Genomic DNA, 20092 nt, shown 5'->3' on the forward strand with positions numbered 1-20092 from the left:
TGCAGAACTTACCCAATAGTTATTTATAGGGAGATCAATGTGCTATTTTCTAATGCATTTTCTTCTGCTTTTTGTTTTTCACTCTTTTTTCTTGCTCTTTTAGTACCAATGAAACAGAAAACTGGATTTAGTCTCGACTTTTTAATATAATTATTCCAATTGTCCATTTTACTTCATTAAGTGTCACAGATAAAGATGTAGTATAATTTTGATCAAAAAAATAGGATTTAAAAAAACCAGGGTGTTTGAATAACTTAGTTTAAAAGTGCTTGTGTTTGCCTAAATATTCCAAATGAAGATCTTACATGTCTCAAATAAGCCTGACCATAAATAATGTTAAAAAATAAATATCAAACATATAAAAGGAGAAATAAAAGCAAATCACAATCCAAAACAAGTATTTCAAAAATACGTATCTAGCCAGAGGAAATTGTTTTAGGAAAATTATTTTATGAATTTAATTTTAATAATTTCAATTTTCCTTAATTTCCTTCCAGTAATGAGAAAACTATTTTCCATATGGTTACTATTTTTTTTTATATTCAATTACATTCTTGGGGGAAAGCTTCATTTGTTGTCATTTGTGGAATAATGCAATCTCATCATGGCGGCAGTTGAGAGTTCTGTGATTTGGATCTGACTCATTATGACACATCTGTTTTAAAGAGTATCAAACATGATATCCCTCAATTCATTTCTCATTATGTCTGAGCTTGGCTTAGGAATAGGCTCAGATCCGAGTATGTGATGTGAGTATGGGCTGAGATTCAGGAAGGCTTAGATATGGAAGGGGACTGAGAGAAGGACAGAGTTGGGTAAATAAATGAGGTGGCCTCAAGCTGAGATGTGGATTACAGACGAATTCATTGATGCATTTCAAAAGTGGAAAGGCAGGAGAAAATGAAATTCAATTTGCTTCATTTTAAAAATCGTAGCTCTAGAATTATATTATTCAAAAGATGTTAAAAATTCTAAATATTTTACTGTGGTTTTATTCTGTTTTTCTATAAAAAGATGGTATGTTCTCTCAAAAACCAACTATTTAGTAAGCATAGCATTATGACAAATAATTCTGAAAATGACAATCAAGTAATCAAGTTCTGTAAGTTCATGACCTATAAACAAATCAGAATGAGAAGTTTAAATATACTCCTTGTTTTCCCTTGCCCTTAAATGGTAATCTGAGTTTGAGGAATAACTTCTGAATGTATTTATAGCAGGCAGATGGTTCTGTTGCCTACTGTTAGTTTGGAAAGAATAGAAGAAGGTATAGATAGGTGACTGGAGAAGGAAAACACTTTACTAAGCCGACATGAATAGAATGCAGATTTTTTTAAGCCAAATCAGTTTTGAAAATGTATATATAAAATTGTGCAAAAGAATTTCTCTAGTTTTTTCCTGTATTATTTAATGGTTGAAGGCTGTAGACTTTTTTTTTTTTTTTTTTTTTTTTTGAGATGGAGTCTCACTCTGTCTCCCAGGCTGGAGTGCAGTGGCGCGATCTCGGCTCACTGCAAGTTCCGCCTCCCGGGTTCACGCCATTCTCCTGCCTCAGCCTCCCGAGTACCTGGGACTACAGGTGCCCACCACCACGCCTGGCTAATTGTTTTGTATTTTAGTAGAGATGGGGTTTCACCGCGTTAGCCAGGATGGTCTCGATCTCCCGACCGCGTGATCTGACCGCCTCAGCCTCCCAAAGTGCTGGAATTACAGGTGCGAGCCACTGCGCCCGGCCGTAGACTTTTTTTTTCTTTAACAGTAAAAATATACCACTTCAAAACTTGCAGTCACAATTCTAGCTGGATTAGCCAAACCATATAGAATAACGTTTTTTTTTCTTGTTTTTTTTTGTTTTTGTTTTTAAAAACCATGGAATTTATTTTGAAGAAAATATGGTTATCATTAATGTTACTTTTTATTTTCTTCCAATCTCCTATCTGATTCAAGTAATGAATTTTAAATTTCTGTTTAGTAAGTTTATTGCAAATGTGCCAAAATTTGACATCTGCAATTCTTAGCAGACGCTATGTTAAGAAAAACAAAGTATTATTTTAATTGGGTATGATTTCAGGCTCATAAACAAAATAATGAAGTATTTTTTTCCTTTTGCTTCCCAGGAATAGATGTTCACCAAGACCAGTAGTTCTCAAACAGGTGAGCATATTAGAATTGAAGTTCACTTGGGAAACTTCTATAAATTGTAAATCTTTTCCTTTCTCTCTCCAACACTCTTTCCAAGTTTCTTCCAGGTATTTTGCTATATCTCATGTTCAGCACAATTGCCAGCCATTGCAGTATGTTCTGGAGCTACAAGGTCCATGAACTATTACACTTGCCTCAAAGACTTCTAGTTTCTTTCAATTCTGATAAAAAAATAAATGACATGATACAGTGGGATAAGTGCTATTATGGTAAAATGAACTTTATGAAGACAGCCTCTAAAACAAATTTGTGGGTTAAGACAACTTATCAGAAGAAGTGAAATCTAAGTTGAGGGTTGAAAGATGACTGTAAGTTAACTAGTTATAAAAGGGGATTTTATGTTTGAGGGTGTATGTATTTAGGAGTGTGGTTTGAGTTTGAAGATTGTTGCAAAGAACATTTTAAGCAAATGTGTATTCTAAGAATATGCAAAAGTATGAAGGAAAGAGTCAGGATATATTGAATACATTATTGTAGTTTGGAAAAATGGTGCATGATTAATGAAGTGAGAGAAGATATTTAGGAGATTGAGGCTGATTATAAAGAGCTGGAGGAAGGAGTTCACCCTTTATCCCGAAAAGATAAAGTGAACACTTTAAATAAGAGACATCATATTTGTGATTTTGAAAAATTATTGATAGCAAAGAAGCAAGAGGCTGGAGGCAATTAGACACTAATGTAGTGTCTTAGAAAATACCTGAAAGTGAGTAGTTCATAAAGAGCAGAAAACTATTTTCCCACCATGTTGGAGTCTGCAGAGTTCAAGATCAAGGTGCCAACAAATTCAGTTGTCTGGTGAGAGCTGCTCTCTGCTTCCAAGGTGCCTTGTTGCTGTGACCTCGCATGATGGAAGGTGGAAGAGCAAGCTAGCTGAACATTGTATAAAGTCTCTTTCTTTTATAAGATCTTTAATCTCATTCCTGAGGAAGGAACCCTCAAGGCCTAATCAACTCTTACGGTCCCCACTTCTTAATACTTTCACATTAGCAACACCTGAATTTTGGAGAAGGCACATTCAAACCATAGCATGCAGTAATCCAGGTGAGAAATTATGGTAAAAAAAAATCATGAGAGTGTTAATGAAGAAAAGATTATGGAAACAAAATATTGAGTCCATATTTGCCTCATCTGGATGTGTGGAAGATTTTAATAAGATATTTTAGATATATTTTTACTCTACCACCCAGAAAATTTTCCTGAACAGTTTATAACATGAAGTATCTTGCTTCATGTAATACTTATAATTTATATATTTTAATGAATTATTTCAATAAAAATATTCATATGTTTTTCTTTAAGAAAGCACCTCTCATGATTCCTTAGCCCTCTCCAAGTACTTCCCATTTTCTGTTCCCTTCAAAGGCAAATTTCTCAAAATTTACACTGCTGTGATTGTCTTGCTTTTCCTTTATCTGTTAATCCACTCTTGGATTCTGCTCCCAATATTTCCCTTGCCAAGGCCCATAATGACATCTACATTGGAATAATCAGTGGATGTACTTCGGCCATCATTGGCTCACTCTGTTCTGGAAACATTTGCTTCCCTTGAAACTATGACCTTGGTTTTTTACCCATCTCTTTTGCTTCTCTGTCTCAATCTCTTGTCCTAGATGTTCCTCTTCTTACTAATCTCCAGCTACTGAAGTTCTTCAGGGTATCCATATATCTTCTTTCTTCTCTCTAATTTGTCTCCTAATCTAATTAATTTTTTTTTTGAGATGGAGTCCTGCTCTGTCGCCCAGACTGGAGTGCAGTGGCACGATCTCAGTTCACTGCAAGCTCTGCCTCCAGGGTTCAAGTGATTCTCCTTCCTTAGCCTCCCCAGTAGCTGGGACTACAGGTGCCTGCCACCACGCCCAGCTAATTTTTTTGTATTTTTTTTTTTTTTTAGTAGAGATGGGGTTTCACCATGTTAGCCAGGATGGTTTCTATCTCCTGACCTCGTCATCTGCCTGCCTTGGCCTCCAAAAGTGCTGGGATTACAGGCGTGAGCCACCGTGCCCGGCCTAATCTAATTAATTTTATAATTCCAAAAAATATCAGTGTGGCTATACATGAACAGATTATAGCTATTCTAGTTAAATTTTCTTATTTGAATTGTAAATTCTTGTGTTCAAAAACTTATTTGATATATCCATTTGATTGGTTGTAAAGATCTCAAGAGTTTACAGAGGCACTAATCCTATTTACAAGGGCCCTATCCCTATGATCTACTCACCTTCCAAATGTCCCACCACTTAATACTATCACATTGGGGATTGGATTTCAATACATGAATTTTAGAAGGACACGAACATTTGGAGTATAGCAAGAAACAATAGTAATCTACTAAGCAGGTAATAGCTTGTATACACCTCAGTTTGTGACTTAATATAGATGTAGCAGTTCTTCAGAAATTTGTCTTTGGATAAGAAGTTAAATCTTATGTTTTGGGTGACTGTTGCTAAAAATAAATTCCAAGTACTTTCTAAATTAGGAGAGATAATTCCCCTTTGAATTATATATTCCATTAAAACATTTTAGAGCTGAAAAAATAAAAGAAATAGATAACAATGAGCTTTTTAGATCACCCAGGCATAAATAAAGGATACTCAGCTATAAAAATGACTAAACAAGGACTTGATGATTTTTCATAATTGATGTATGCTACTTGTATTTTCATTACTTCATATGCTACTTGTATTTTCAGGAGTGCTGTGTTCTAAGAGAATAAATTTTGGTTTAAAAGATTTGAGAATATGACTGGGTGCAGTAGCTCACGCCTGTAATCTCAGCACTAGGAGGCCTAGGTGGGAGGATAATTTGAGCCCAGGAGTTCAAGACTAGATTGGGCAACATGGTGAAACTCTGTCTCTACAAAAATACTTGGTGACATGTGTCTTTAGTCCCAGCCACTCTGGAGGCTGAGGTGGGAGAATCACTTGAACCCTGGGAGGTTGAATTTGCAGTGAGCTGAGATTGTGCCACAGTACTCCAGCCTGGGTGATAGAGTAAGACTCTGTCCCAGCCAAAAAAAGAAAAAAAAGATAAGAGAGTAAGAAATTAGAATAATTTTATGACTTACATTTCCTTCCCTGGATCAAGGAAAACTGTTTAAAAAAGCAGGGAAGGCAGATACAAGGGGCATTAGGTAAAGAGGTTATTGCTGCATAGGAGGGGAACACATCTACAGTGACAGATGAGGAGGCAGCTACATTTCACCTCTTGAGAGAATATCTGAACTATTATTAACCCACTTGATACCTAAGAACTGAGTTTTACCTAACCATATATGTTAAAATACTATCACACTATTAAGCTTCCCTGTTGCTCATCCAAACCTGACTATCTCCATGAAACAATGGACTCTCCTAATTACTTCCCTATATTATCATGCACCGCCTCTCATGACATTAACACAGAAGTCCTCAACATGTTACAGATTGTTGTGCACTGCAGTAGCTGTTTTATGTGAGACATCTGGGTCTTGGTAAGTTATGTGCATTCTTATCACCACATTCTCTTGCCAGAATGACTGGTCCAAAGAGTGAACACGTAACTGGTGGAAGATCAATTGCTCTCCCTTTTTTTGGCATTGACATATAAAACAATATTTTCATCTAGGGTTTATGGACTGAGATTATCAGTAGCCATGTTCCATACCCTAGGAACATACAGAGACAAAACAAAACAAAATAAAAAAACAAAAATCTAACTAGAAAGAGATAGAATCCCCAGTCCCAATTCCTAAATTTGTGGTGTGCAGCTCTTCCTTGACATCTATCAGCTATTTGAGTGTATTTAGTTGTATATAAACTAACACTTTATTGTCTTGCTCAATTTATTATGGGTTGATTTTCTGTTGTTTGCAAGCTAATGGATCCTAATAAATACATTAATATAAAAGCTGAGAAATGCAGCTAAAAATAGTAATATGTCATATCCAATTAGATGATGTGAGAACATAACATTTAAATTAACTTTTTCTATCTCCTATATGTCATGACTCATGAAATTGAGAGAAATAACATACCACAATAAATTTGGAATAATTCTGAATTCTGTGTCCAAGCACTTTGGTGTACTCTGTGCATATATGTGACAAGAATCTATTATTATGCTTAAGAATAGGTATTAATTGCAGTATTTGAAGAGTAAAACTCTACAAGTTCATGAGTTATCAGTAACTTGTATTTAGAGTTGGATCTGCACTAGGGAGATCAGTTTCATAATGGGGCTATCATTTTGCCAAATGCAATAACAGTTAATTAACAACACATTATTAAGAGCCAAATAATCCTTAACAAAACAAAACAAAAATCTGGTGTGAATTTAAAGCAATATGTCCATGTGAAGGGAAAATACAGTTCTGGAGTTCTCAGAGTGTGTTCAACCTGGGATTGATTATAGTTTCTCACTTTACCAGTATAAAGAACAAGCAGGAAGATTTGAAGTAGGAAGCGACGTGTGTGTACATGGAGTGGGCTGGTACAGTCAGGGACTAATAATGGTTGGCTAACATGGAGAGACTTTGAAGGAGAACTAACTAAAATACAACTTGTAAACTCTTAGGCATTTTCCTGTGACTAATAACCACCACCAGATGTGTACAGTTGACAACAGCTTGAAAAGATTCTGAGACCACTTTTTTTTTTTCCTCTGAATGTGTTGTTTACAGCTTTGTTGTCTAGGAATGTTTATTACAAATGGAGAGAAATTGGACGGAGCCACAATTGGAAACACTACAATTCTGATTCAGGAGAAATATTTGAAAGGCCTTTAATAAAATTTTAAAATAAATTTGTTTTAGTCATTCATTAAATGTAATCCATATGAAACGTTAGGAGCCATGGGGATACAAGGATGAGAAGAAAATGTGGCATTTTATCTAAAGTCTAAAATTTTTTAGGAAAGATGGCATGATAATACAGCTTCATGTTTGCTGAACAAACTAATTCTGGAGAGAGACAAGATTGGCTAAGATATGTGACAAAAGAGAGGTTTCACCAAAGCACTCTGTGAGATCAGAAGAGGATGGGGTGGTTTGTCTGGGCATATCCACATGGGTGCCTGGGACGACGTGGGACTTGAGTGGAGTCTTCAACATAAAGAGGAAAGAAACATCGGAAATATTATACCAAGCTCATCTAGGAAATGGGGAGTAATAAAATTTATGTCAGCATACACAGTATTTGTCAACTCTTAGAATGAGGTTAAGTTAATATTAATTTTCCAAGGGCATTTTAAATGTCTGAATAGAAGTGTAGACATTCTTCTATAGTTAAGTGAAAGTGTTCAAAGTCACTGAGCAATGGAGTGACATTATCAGAACTGAGTTTTAGAAATAAAAATGAATTGAATTTTTACAAATGAAATAAGACCAAGAGACACTTTAAGTAGGAAGTCCAATTGGGAAACTTGCCATAGTCTAAAAAGCAAATCATAAGGATCCAAAGGATAGTAATGGGAGCAAAGGCCAGATTCAGGGAAAACGGAAAAATAAAAGAAATACAGCAAACAGGAGAATAGGACTAGAAGGCAGGCTCTTCACTAAGACACTCTTAAAGTCTTCATGTATATGCCCATGTGTTCCTGATACCACTGGACTTTTCATCCTTGTCTTGTGCCTGTTTTCAAGAGAATTCTTCCAGCTTTTTCCCATTCAGTTTGATATTGGCTGTGGGTTTTTCATAGGTAGCTCTTATAATTTTAAAATACGTTCCCTTAATGCCTAGTTTGTTGAGGGGTTTTAAGATGAAGGAATGTTGAATTTTATTGAAAGTCTTTTCTGCATCTATTGAAATAATTATGTGGTTTTTGTTTTTATTTTGTTTATGTGACAAATCACATTTAATGATTTGCGTATGTTGAAGCAACCTAGTATCCCAGGAAGAAAGCCTACTTGATCATGATGCATTAGCTTTTGATGTGATGCTGGATTAAGTTTGCTAGCATTTTGTTGAAGATTTATGCATCAATGTTCATCAAGGATATTGGTCTGAAGTTTTTTTTTAATTGATGTGTATCAGGATGATGCTGGCCTCATAGAACGAGCTGGTGAAAAATTAATCCTCCCCAATTTTTGGCATAGTTTCAGTAAAAATGGTACCAGTTATTTATTCTTTTACATCTGGTAGAATTTGGCTGTGAATCTGTCTGGTCCTGGGCTTTTTTGGTTTGTAGACTTTTTATTACTGATTCAACTTTAGAACTCGTTATTGGTCTGTTCAATGATTCAATTTCTTCCTGATTCAGCTTTGGAAAGTTGCATGTGTCCAGGAATTTATCCATTTCTTCTAGATTTTCTAGTGTGTCTGCAAAGAGCTGTTCAGAGTAGTCTCTGTTAATATTTTTTTTTTGTATTTCTGTGGGGTCAGTGGTAATGTCCCCCTTTTGATTTCTAATTGTGTTATTCGGATCTTCTCTCTTTTTTATTAGTCTAGCTAGCAGTCTGTATATCTTACTAATTTTTTAAAGAACCAATTCCTGCATTCATTGATCTTTTGTATGGTTTTTCACATCTCACTTTCCTTCACTTCAGCTCTAATTTTGGTTAGTTCTTGTCTTCTGCTAGCTTTGGGGTTAGTTTATTCTTGCTTCTACAGTTCTTCTAGTTGTGATGTTAGGTTGTTAACTTGGAATCTGTCCAACTTTTTGACGGGGGCATTTAGTGCTGTAAATTACCCTGTTAGTACTGCCTTACCTGTGTCCCAGAGATTCTGGTGTATTGTATCTTTGTTCTCATTAGTTTCAAATAATTTCTTGATTTCTGCCTTAATTTCATTATTTATCAAAAAACCATTCCAGAGCAGGTTAATTTCCATACAATTGTATGGTTTTGAGTGACTTTCTTTGTATTGATTTCTATTTTTATTGTGCTGTGGTCCAAGAACATGGTTGGTATCATTTTGGTTCTTTGGCATTTGCAAAAGATTGTTTTATGTCCTTTTGTGTGGTCTATATTACAGTATGTGTCATGTAGCCATGAGAAGAATGTATATTCTGTTGTTTTGGGGTAGAGAGTTTTATAGATGTCTATTAGGTCTATTTGGTCAAGTGTTCAGTTCAGGTACTGGATGTTTGTTAATTTTCTGCTTCTATTACGTGTCTAATACTGTCAGTAGCGTGTTGAAATCTCTCACTATTATTGTGTGGGAATGTAAGTCGCTTCATAAATCTCTAAGAATTTGCTTTATGAATCTGGGTGGTGCTATGTTTGGTGTGTATATACTCAGGATAGTTAGGTATTCTTTTTGAATTGAATCGTTTACCATTACTGGTGCAATGGTCATTGTGGTTTCAGACCATGAATTTTAAATCAGTATAACTAGGCTCAAACACATCTTTATTAATCAAAACAGGAACCATTATAATAAACACATTTTTGCCAATGAGAAATAAGTTTGTTTATTCCTGTAGTGTAAAAATCTGTGCTTTGGGATTTGACAAACTCTTGGAAAGCATTTTCTGCATCTTGCTTGTTGTGGAAGCATTTTCCCTGCAAAAAGTTGTCGGGATGCTTGAAGAAGTGGTAGTTGGTTGGTGAGAAGCAAATTTCATAGCTCAATTTGTTCAACTTTCAAAGTGTTGGTTGGGCAATGTGCATTCAGATGTTGTCATGGAAAAGAATCAGCCCCTTTCTGTTGACCAGTGCTGGCTGCAGGCGATAGAGTTTTCAGTGCATCTCATCGATTTACTGAGCATACTTCACAGATGTAATGGTTTCAATGGGATTCAGAAAGCTGTAGAAGATCAGACTGGCAGCAGACCACCAAACAGTGACCATGACCTCTTTTTGGTGCAAGCTTGGCTTTGGGAAGTTCTTTCTTTGGAGCTTCTTATCCGTCCAACCACTGAGCTGGTCATTGCTGGTTATTGTATAAAGTCCACTTTTTGTCACACATCACAATCCAATTGAGAAATGGCTCATTGTTGCTGTGTAGAATAAGAGAAGATGACATTTCAAAACGACAAGTTTTTTTATTTTTGTTCAGCTCATGAGGCATCAATAAGCAGGTACTTATGGAGCTTTTTCACCTTTCCAATTTGCTTCAAATACCAAATCACCATAGGATGGTCAATATTGAGTTCTTCAGCAACTTCTTGTGCAGTTGTAAGAGGATCAGCTTTGATGATCACTCTCAATTTGTCATTGTCAACTCCCATATCCTTTGAAAAACTTCTTGAACCACCACTGCACTGTAAATTTGTTAGCAGTTCCTGGGCCAAATGTGTTGTTGATGTTGCAGGTTGTCTCCATCGCTTTATGACCCATCTTGAACTTGAATAAGAAAATCGCTCACATTTTCTTTTAGTCTAACATCATTTCCATAGCCTAAAATAAACATAACATAAAGAGCAAGTAATAAGTCATTAGCAAAAAACCATAAAGCGAGAAATGCCCATTAAAATGATGTATAACATAACCACATTTATTTGGCAATATATCCCAATACCAAATGGCAAATTCCAACAATGCAAAAACAGCAATTACTTTTGCACTCACCCAATATAACGCTCTTCTTTATCTTTTTAAAAAACCTTTGTCGGTTTAAAGTCTGTTTTATCTAAAATTAGGATACCAGTCCCTGCTTTTTCTGTTTTCCATTTGCTTGGTAGATTTTTCTCCATCCCTTTATTCTGAGGCTATGCTGTCACTGCGTGTAAGATTGGGTTTTGCTTCTTTATCCAGCATGCCACTCTGTGTCTTTTAATTGGGGGCATTTAGCCTGTTTACATACAAGGTTAATATTGGTATGTGCAGATTTGATCCCATCATTGTATTGTTACTAGGTTGACTGGTTTGTGTGGTTGCTTTACGGTGTCATTGGTCTGTGTACTTATGTATGTTTTTTTAGTGACTGGTAATCATCCTTTCTTTTCATATTTAGTGCACTTTTCAGGACCTCTTGTAAGGCAGGTTTGGTGAGCATTTGCTTTTGCTTAGCATTTGCTTGTCTGTAAAGGATCTTATTTCTCCTTCACTTATGGAGCTCAGTTTGGCAGGATACAAAATTCCTGGTTGGAAATTATTTTCTTCAAGAATGCTGAATATAAGCTCTGAATCTCTTTCTGGCTTGCAGTGTTTCTCCTGAAAGGCCAGCTGTTAGCCCGATGGGCTTCCCTTTGTAGGTGACCCGCCCCTTCTCTCTAGCTTCCTTTAACATTTTGTTCTCTCATTTTGACCTTATAAAATCTGATTATTGTGTCTTGGAGATGGTTCTCACAGGGGTTCTCTGCATTTTCTGAATTTGAATATTGGTCTGTCTAGCAAGGGTGGGGAAGTTTTCATGGACGATATCCTGAAAAATGTTTTCCAAGTTGCTTGCTTTCTCCGCATCTCTTTCAGGAATGCCAGTGAGTCACAGGTTTGCTCTCTTTACATAATCCCATGTTTCTCAGAGGTTTTGTTCATTCTTTTTTATCCTTTTTTCTTCATTTTTTTCTGACTATTTCAGAGAGTCAGTCTTCAAGCTCTGAGATTCTTTCCTCAGCTTGGTCTATTCTGCTGTTAACACTTACAATTTCATTATGTAATTCTTTTTTTTTTTTTTTTTTTTTGAGACGGAGTCTCACTCTGTCGCCTAGGCTGGAGTGCAGTGGCGTGATCTCTGCTCACTGCAAGCTCCACCTCCCAGGTTCACACCATTCTCCTGCCTCAGCCTCCCTAGTAGCTGGGACTACAGGAGCCCGCCACCATGCAAAGCTAATTTTTTTGTATTTTTAGTAGAGACAGGGTTTCACCGTGTTAGCCAGGATGGTCTCGATCTCCTGACCTCGTGATCCGCCTGCCTTGGCCTCCCAAAGTGCTGGGATTATGTAATTCTTTTACTTTGTTTTACAGCTCTATCAGGTCAGTTTAGTTCTTTTACATGATGGCTTTTTTTTTTTTTTTTTTTAAATCATTCAGCTCCTGTAACATTTTATTGTGATGCTCTGCTTCCTTGGATTGGGTTTCTATGTTCTCATGAATGTTGATGATCTTTGTTTTTATCCTTATTCTGAATTATATTTCTGTCATTTCAGCTATTTCAGCCCTAGAACCACCCTTGCTGGAGAACTAGTGTGGTCATTTGTCTCTTGGGGGTCCACCACAGACAGATGTGGAGCCACTATCAATCAGTGTGATTGGCCCAGGATGGAGCATCTGTGCTATAGGCCCAAGCTGGGAGAGACTTGCCTGGTGACTAGCAGCAGTGGGGTGGAGCGCGGGGGGAGACCTGGGAAAGACAGACTTCCTCTCCTCATTAGGGTGGCTGCATCTTGCTGAATCTGTGTGTAAAGCACTCAGGGTCTTTGCTTCTTCCCTGGTCTGAGGGCAGCAAGGGCAGTACCACTGCAGTGGCAGTTGTAGTGGGGCTTTCAGTTGCCTCTGGGAGCTCCACCTCAGAGAAACAAAGAGTTGCTGCTGCTGGAAATATTCGGCCAAGGGGTGGGGCAATTGCTCTGCTGGCCCAAGCTACAGGCTCTGCTTGGTGAAGAGTCAGGGAACGAGGGCTCACAGGGAGAAGAGACTGGGCTCCTCTCCATATGCTGACTGTAGTGTGCTGGAAGCTCAGGTGAACCCCTCAAAGTCTTTGTTTCTTCTTAGATCAAGGGCAGCAGGGGCAGGACCATTGTTTTGGCAGTAGTAGGGGGGCTGTCACTTGCCTCTGGGAGCCTCTTCTCAGGAAACACAGAGCCACTAGCAGTGGGAATGTTCAGCCAGGGATGGGGTGGTTGTTCTTGGTACCAAGCCAGGGGCCCTGCTTGGTGAGGGGAGAAGGTGAGGGCTCACAGGGAAGAGAGACCGGACTTCTCTTCGAATGGGCTGCAGTATACTGGTGGTGCCAGAATAACAATTAGACTCTTTATTTCTTCTCTCATCCAAGGGTGATTAGGGCAGTACCTCTGCAGCTGCAATGGCAGAAGGGTTGTGGATTCTCTCTGGGAATTTCTTAGAGAAATGCAGAGCTGCTTCTGACTGAAGTGTTCAAGGCGGAGTAAGGGAATTGTGCTGGAGTTGGAAGGTCCCACCCAGTGAAGAGAAGCAAGGACAGAAACCCACATGGAGAAGAGTCTGGCCACTTTTCTGTGGGATGGCTGCACTGTGCTGGGAGCCACACCACTGCCTAATCACCACATACTCCCCAGAACTCACAGGGTATAGTGGCAAGGGCTGTGAGACAGCAAGAATGGCATCTGGCCTCTCACTCTTAGAGCTCTGTCCCAGGAAAGTGCAGAGCTGCTACTGGCCCAAGATCTTTGGTGGGATGTGGCTGGAGTCCCAGTTTGGTGGGTCTTGCCCCATGAGGAAAAGCAGGAGCCATCTGGGAGCCACATAAAAAATAGCCTGACTTCTTTTCGATGGGATGGCTACACTGCAATGGAGATCCGCGCCTCTCCCTAATCACTACTCAAGCCTGAAGGCTATGGAGGCGGGGGCTGCAAGACAGCAAAAATGCTGGCCAGCCTCTCTTTCTGGGAGCTTTATCCCAGAGAATTACAGAGCTGTTAGTTGCTTAGAGTCCAGAGGGTTGGTGGCTGGAGACCCAGGCAGGTGGGACTTAGCCTGTGAGATGCAGTGGAGGTGAGGCTTGCAGTCCATTGCTGCTCAGGACCCTGGATTTAGTTCCTTTCCTGTGGGCATGGGAGAGAACCTGTCCTCCTCCACAGCCAGAGCTGCTGCTGCTAATTCTGGGATGTCCAGGGAATCAAGGCTCCAGGGACTCTGCATGTGCCTGAGCGGCAGCTCTGCCCAGACTCCCCATAGCTCTCTGTGTTGGTCTGGAGCCCCTGGTTGGGAGCTCACTGGGCATCTCCTGAGTTCAGGGTTGCAAAGGTCCATGGAAGAATTGTGGGTCTCCAGGGACTCTTACTCATTCATCATTTTCCCATGGTGAGGAAGACTCCCCTGACTTTGTGATACTCTCAGGTGGGTGGTCATCCTGTCTTGCTCCTCTCCATTCTCCTTAGGTCGAGTTGTTTCCTTGATGAATCCCAATGTGTCTACCGAGATGTTCCAGTTGAAGATCTAGTAATTAAAGGTATTTGTTATTCAATGAATATTGTAGTATAAACTATTAATTTCTGCCTCAGCCTTTCAAGACTCTATAAATTAATTGTTCTAATGCTTCTCCTATGCTTGGCAAGAAAATTGGATAGAGAAATATAGTTAGAGAAATAGTAGAAGAAAATCCACTGATTTTATTTTTCTCTTTATGTTAATTTTTTGAAGGTCTCTTTACACCAGAGCTAAGATCACGAATAAAGGAGCAGCTTTGGGTTTGCAGAGATTACACAGGAATGTATGTTTCTGGCAGGTCATTTGCCATCTTTGCAAGGAGTGTACATGGATGTCATCATTACAAAGGATGTGAGAGGTAATTGCTTTATTGTATTAAGAGAAGCAAACAGAAATCATAGTTCAAATGATTGCAACTCAAGTTTTGGCAATATTAATGAACTTCAGGAAAAATTTAATTGAACTCTGTTAGAGCAAAATAAGTTAGTGACTTAATATTTTAATCAAATGATGTATTTTTCTGTCATATTAAGAAAAAAATTCTGGGTTTTTTTTGGTAATAAAAATGGCCTAATGAACAGTTTCTAAAGTTAACCAAATGTTTAAATTACTTTTCAGGAAAAATTTATTCAAGAAGCACTTATTAAAATTTCTTCCACTGTGCTGGATCCTTAATTTACATACTTGTTTGTAGATTCTGTTTCTCTTTAAGTATTTTTTAAAAATTCATATGGAATATTTCTTATAATCCCAAGTTTATTGTTGTTATGGTCAACCACTAATTACTTGAAGAATGTAATATAAAATTGTTTATCGTTTATGAAGTCTCTTAGTTACCTTTTGATACAGTTTGGCTGTGTACTCACCCAAGTCTCATCTTGAATTGTAGCTCTCATAATCCCCACGTGTTGTGGGAGGGACCTGATGGGAGGTAATTGAATTATATGGGTGGGTTTTCCTATGTTCTTGTGATAGTGAATAAGTCTCATGAGATCTGATGGTTTTATAAAGGGCAGTTCCCCTGCACATACTCTCTTGCTTGCTGCCATGTAAATGTGCCTTTGTTCCTCCTTCACCTTCTGGGATGATTATGGGGCCTCCTTAGCCATGGGGACTGTGCCATTAAACCTCTTTTTCTTTATAAATTACCCAGCCTTGGGTATTTCTTCATAGCAGTATAAAAATGGATTAATACAGTAAATTGGTACTGGTAGAGTGGGGTACTGCTATTAAGATATCTGAAAATGTGGAAGCAACATTGGAACTGGGTAACAGGCAGAGGTTAGAACAATTTGGAGGGCTCAGAAGAAGATAGGAAGATGTGGGAAAGTTTGGAACTTCCTAGAGACTTGTTGAATTGCTTTCACTATAATGCTGATAGTAATATGGACAATAAAATCCAGGCTAAGGTGGTCTCAGATTGAGATGAGGAATTTGTTGGAAACTGGAGTAAAGGTCACTCTTGCTATGCAAAGAGATGTACTGCATTTTACCCCCACCCTAGAGATCTGTGGAACTTTGAACTTGAGAGAGATGATTTAGGGTATCTGGTAGAAGAAATTTCTAAGCAGCAAAGTGTTCAAGAAGTAACAGTGCATAAAAGTTTGGAAAATATGCAGCTTGACAATGTGGTAGAACAAAAAGCCCATTTTCTGGGGAGAAATTCAAGCCACTGCAGAAATTTGCACAAGTAATGAGGAACCAAAGGGTAATCCCCAAGACAATGGGTAAAATGTCTCCAGGGCATATGAGAGACCTTCACAGCAGCCCCTCCCATCACAGGCTCAGGGACCTGGGAGGAAAAAATGGTTTTGTGGGCCTGGTTCAGGGCTTCCTTCCTGTGTGCAGCCTAGGGACTTGGTGCCCTGTGTCCCAAATGCTCCAGTCATGGCTAAAAGTGACCAAAGTACAGCTCAGGTCATTGCTTCAGAAAGTGCGAGTCCCAAAGTCTTGACAGCTTCCACATGGTGTTGGTTCTGTGAGCGCACAGAAGTTGAGAACTGAGTTTTGGGAACCTCTGCCTAGTTTTCAGAGGATGTATGGAAATACCTGGATGTCGAGGCAGAGGTGTACTGCAGGGGTGGAGCCCTCATGGAGAACCTCTGCTAGGGCAGTGCAGAAGGGAAATGTAGGGTGGGAGCCTCCACACAGTGTCCCTATTGGGGTACTTCCTTGTGGAGCTGTGAGAAGAAGGCCACCATCCTCCAGATCCCGGAATGGTAGATCCATTGAAAGCTTGAACTGTGCACCTAAAGAAGCCACAGACACTCAATGCCAGCCCAGGAAAGCGGCCAGGAGGGAGGCTGTACCCTGCAAAGCCACAGGGGCAGAGCTGTCCGAGGCTGTGGGAGCCCACCTCCTGTATCAGCATGACCTGGATGTGAAACATGGAGTCAAAGGAGATCATTTTGGAGCTTTAAGATTTGACTGCCCCACTGGATTTTGGACTTGCATGGGTCCTGCAGCCCCTTTGTTTTAATTAATTTCTCCTGTTTAGAATGGCTGTATTTACCCAATGCCTGTACCCCTATTTTATCTAGGAAGTAACTAACTTGCTCTTGATTTAACAGGCTCATCGGCAGAAGGAACTTGCCTTGTCTCAGATGAGACTTTGGATATAGACTTTTGAGTAAATGCTGAAATGAGATAACACTTTGGGGGACTGTTGGGAAGGCATGGTTGGTTTTGAAATGTGAGGACATGAGATGTGGGAGGGGCTGGGGGTGGAATGATATGGTTTGACTGTGTCCCAACCCAAATCTCATCTTGAATTGTAGCTCCCACAGTTCCCATGTATCCTAGGAGGGACCCGATGGGAGGTAATTGAATCATAGGAGTGGGTTTTCCCCTCCTGTCCTCATGATACTGAATAAGTCTCATGAGACCTGATGGTTTTATAAAGAGTAGTTCCTCTAAACATGTTCTCTTCCCTGCCACCATGTAAGATGTGCCTTTGCTACTCCTTCACCTTCTGTGATAATTTTGAGGCCTCCCTAGCCATGGGGACTGTGAGTCCATTAAACCTCTTTTTCTCTATAAATTACCCAGTCTTGGGTATTTCTTCATAGGAGTAAAAAAATAGACTAATACACTCTTTATCTTTCAGACTTTTCTATATTTTTATAACTTTTTGTGAGACTTCATAAAAGTTTAGAAAATGCATTAGTGAATTGTGTTATTGCTAAAAGTGAAAGTCATCTAGCATTCTTATTCACATATGGCCTAGTTTTTCAAGAGTTTTTCAGAACTTAGGTTGGCTAGAAAATCACCAGTCTTTTCTCATTATATTGTAGAAATTTCATCAGTGAGTATTATCAGATGTTGTATAAGACCTTACAAAGACCCCACAGAAGTAAAGGCAATAATCCTATATGTAAAAAAACAAATTGATAACAAAAACAAAAAACAAAACAAGACAAACTAAAAAGTACTGAAACTTCAAGAAATGTTTTTCCAATAATTGAAAATAAATAGCTGTTTGGATGAATATAAAAATAAATCTCAATAAATTAAATTCAGCTGCCATTTTTGAATAATTAATTGGTATATGTTGGATTATGTGTGCATATTGTGTAACAATGATACTGGCTGTAAGATAGCTCATATTGGGTTCTTTTTCTGCTACCTATAATAGATTTGTGAGTGTCTTACAACACTTTCCAGTCTGGTTCGTCTTATATTTAGCATTTTCTAGTTGGCTGCTCCTATGTAAAGGTGAAGTTTACGATTATAAAGTGGAGTTAATATAACTAAATGCTATGGCAGAGGATGTTGCACTTTTGAAAAATGGAATAACAGGGACCATATTTTCTCTTCTGAGTAAAACCATTTTTAAAAAACAAAAATAAATTTAAAACACAGGGCTGGGAGCAGTGGCTCACACCTATAATTCCAGCACTTTGGGATGCTGAGGTGGGCGGATCACTTGAGGTCAGGGGTTTGAGACCAGCCTAGCCAACATGGCAAAATCCCATCTCTACTAAAAATACAATAATTAGCCAGGCATGGTGGCATGTGCCTGAATTCCCAACTGCTCAGGTGGCTGAGACACAAGAATTGCTTGAACCCGGAAAAAAAATAAAGAACAGTTTTCAAAATGCTGGGTATCAGACAATGAATCACAGTGATTCTTTGGATATAAAAAGAAAAGTGAGATGAGCCCTGTGATTGCCCCCAGCTTTCTGTCTTTTCCTAGGCTGCAGTGCAGGAATGGGAAATCCAGGTGAATCTTGGCAGACAAGATGGAGCTGAGTATTGAAGGAGGCCAAGAAAATAGAGTTCATAGTACCGAGGACCAGAGAGGACAGAGCTGTAGAGACAGAGAACTCTGGAGATCCATAGAGGGTTCACCTAAGTATTCAGCAGAATACTGATCAACACATGCATATGAGAAAACCAATAAAGGTCAGAGAAAGAACCATCTGAAAAATTAGAGAAAACAATTTCTCACATAAAGCCTTAAATAGCACCTATTCCCACCATCTAGATTTTGAAACTTCATAATTCACTGGACATTGGGAATAGTTCTAAGAAGAGTCGTGCCTAAATTGGAGGGAATAATTAACTCCAGATTATACACAGATCTGACTCTGCTTAATAAATCTTAAAAACAAGACCCCAGTGAATTAAACTGTTTCCATAACCAAACTATAATCTTAGAACAAAGTGCAGGAATATTTATAGAAGTACAAAAATGTCCAGCACCCAGCAAGGCAATTTACAATGTTTGGCAACCAGAGATTACCAGGCATGAAAAGAAACAGGAAAATACGGTGCAAAATGAGGGAAAAAAAATAACCAACTAAACTTACCCAGATCTGGCGCAATTATTAGAATTAGCAGAAGACATTAAACAGTTACTATAATTATAGTCCATATGTTCAAAAAGTTATGTAGAGACATGAGACACAAACACACACAGTTTAGAAACTAAAAAATAACGATCAAATTGAAGTCAAATTAAGTAGACGAAAGGCCATGACACATATTATGGTGGAAATCAGCAAAGCAGAAAACAGGAACATGACGCAGAAAATTAATGAAACCAAACGATTGTTTTTTGAACAAAATCAACAAATTGATTGAAGGCTTAGTAGATTGGTTAGGGAAATAAGAGAGGACACAAATTACCAGTTTCAGGAATGAGAGAGGTAACATTGCTAAGATATTTGAAGGATTATAACGGAATATTTTGAACAATACAATAAATTTGACAATTGTGTGAAATAGACAAGTTTCATTCCTTGAAAGACACAAACTACAAAATATCACTCAAGAAAAAATAGGTAATCAGCATAACCCTTTATTTATTAAATAAAGAGAATTTGTATTTAGAAACCTTCCCTCAAAGACAATTGCAGGCCTAGATAACTTCACTGGTGAATTCTACCAAATGTTTAAGGAAGAAAACAACAGACTTAAAGTTGAAAGACTGAATGCTTTTTTCTAAGATCACAAAGATTAAACATGTCTACTCTTACCACTTCTACTCGATATTGTTCCACTATTCAACATCAACCTGTGAGATAAGAAAGGAAAATATAAACAGCATCCAGATCACAGAGACAGAGGTAAAATTATCTTTATTTGCAAACAGCATAATTATCTATGTATAAAATACTGTATAATCTTAAAAATACTAGAATTAATTTAATACTAGAATTAAACCTTGAATTTAACAAGGTTACAGAATACAAGATGAAAGTACAGAAAGTAAACAATCAGAAATTTAAATAAAAACAATGCCATTTATAATTCCATCAAAAAATTGAAATCTTTATAATATTTTCTCACCAATGCTTTGTCATTTTAAGTTTACAGGTCTTCCACATCTTTTGTCAAGTTCTCCCTAAGTATTTAAAGATGTGGAAGACCTGTAAACTTAGAATGATAAAGCATTGGTGAGAA

General features: G+C 38.2%; 1 long non-coding RNA gene across 1 annotated transcript, besides 1 other annotated feature; it reads left to right on the top strand.

Annotated features, from left to right (window-relative positions):
- The first annotated feature begins 1242 nt into the window (after positions 1-1242).
- On the top strand, positions 1243-17839 carry LINC00547 (long intergenic non-protein coding RNA 547). The gene is made up of 5 exons (NR_040244.1): positions 1243-1267; positions 2118-2154; positions 14137-14207; positions 14399-14543; positions 14804-17839. It is a non-coding gene; the product is annotated as a long intergenic non-protein coding RNA 547 (long non-coding RNA).
- Positions 12573-13073: an enhancer, noted in NCBI's record as "H3K27ac hESC enhancer chr13:38120407-38120907 (GRCh37/hg19 assembly coordinates)". NCBI's record gives its function as "activates a minimal SCP1, AML or CMV promoter by ChIP-STARR-seq in naive H9 embryonic stem cells {active_cell/tissue: H9 hESC(naive)}" and the evidence as "EXISTENCE:reporter gene assay evidence [ECO:0000049][PMID:30033119]".
- Positions 17840-20092: the final 2253 nt, after the last annotated feature.

This window comes from Homo sapiens, chromosome 13 (assembly GCF_000001405.40).
Source record: "Homo sapiens chromosome 13, GRCh38.p14 Primary Assembly".
Classification (NCBI taxonomy): domain Eukaryota; kingdom Metazoa; phylum Chordata; class Mammalia; order Primates; family Hominidae; genus Homo; species Homo sapiens.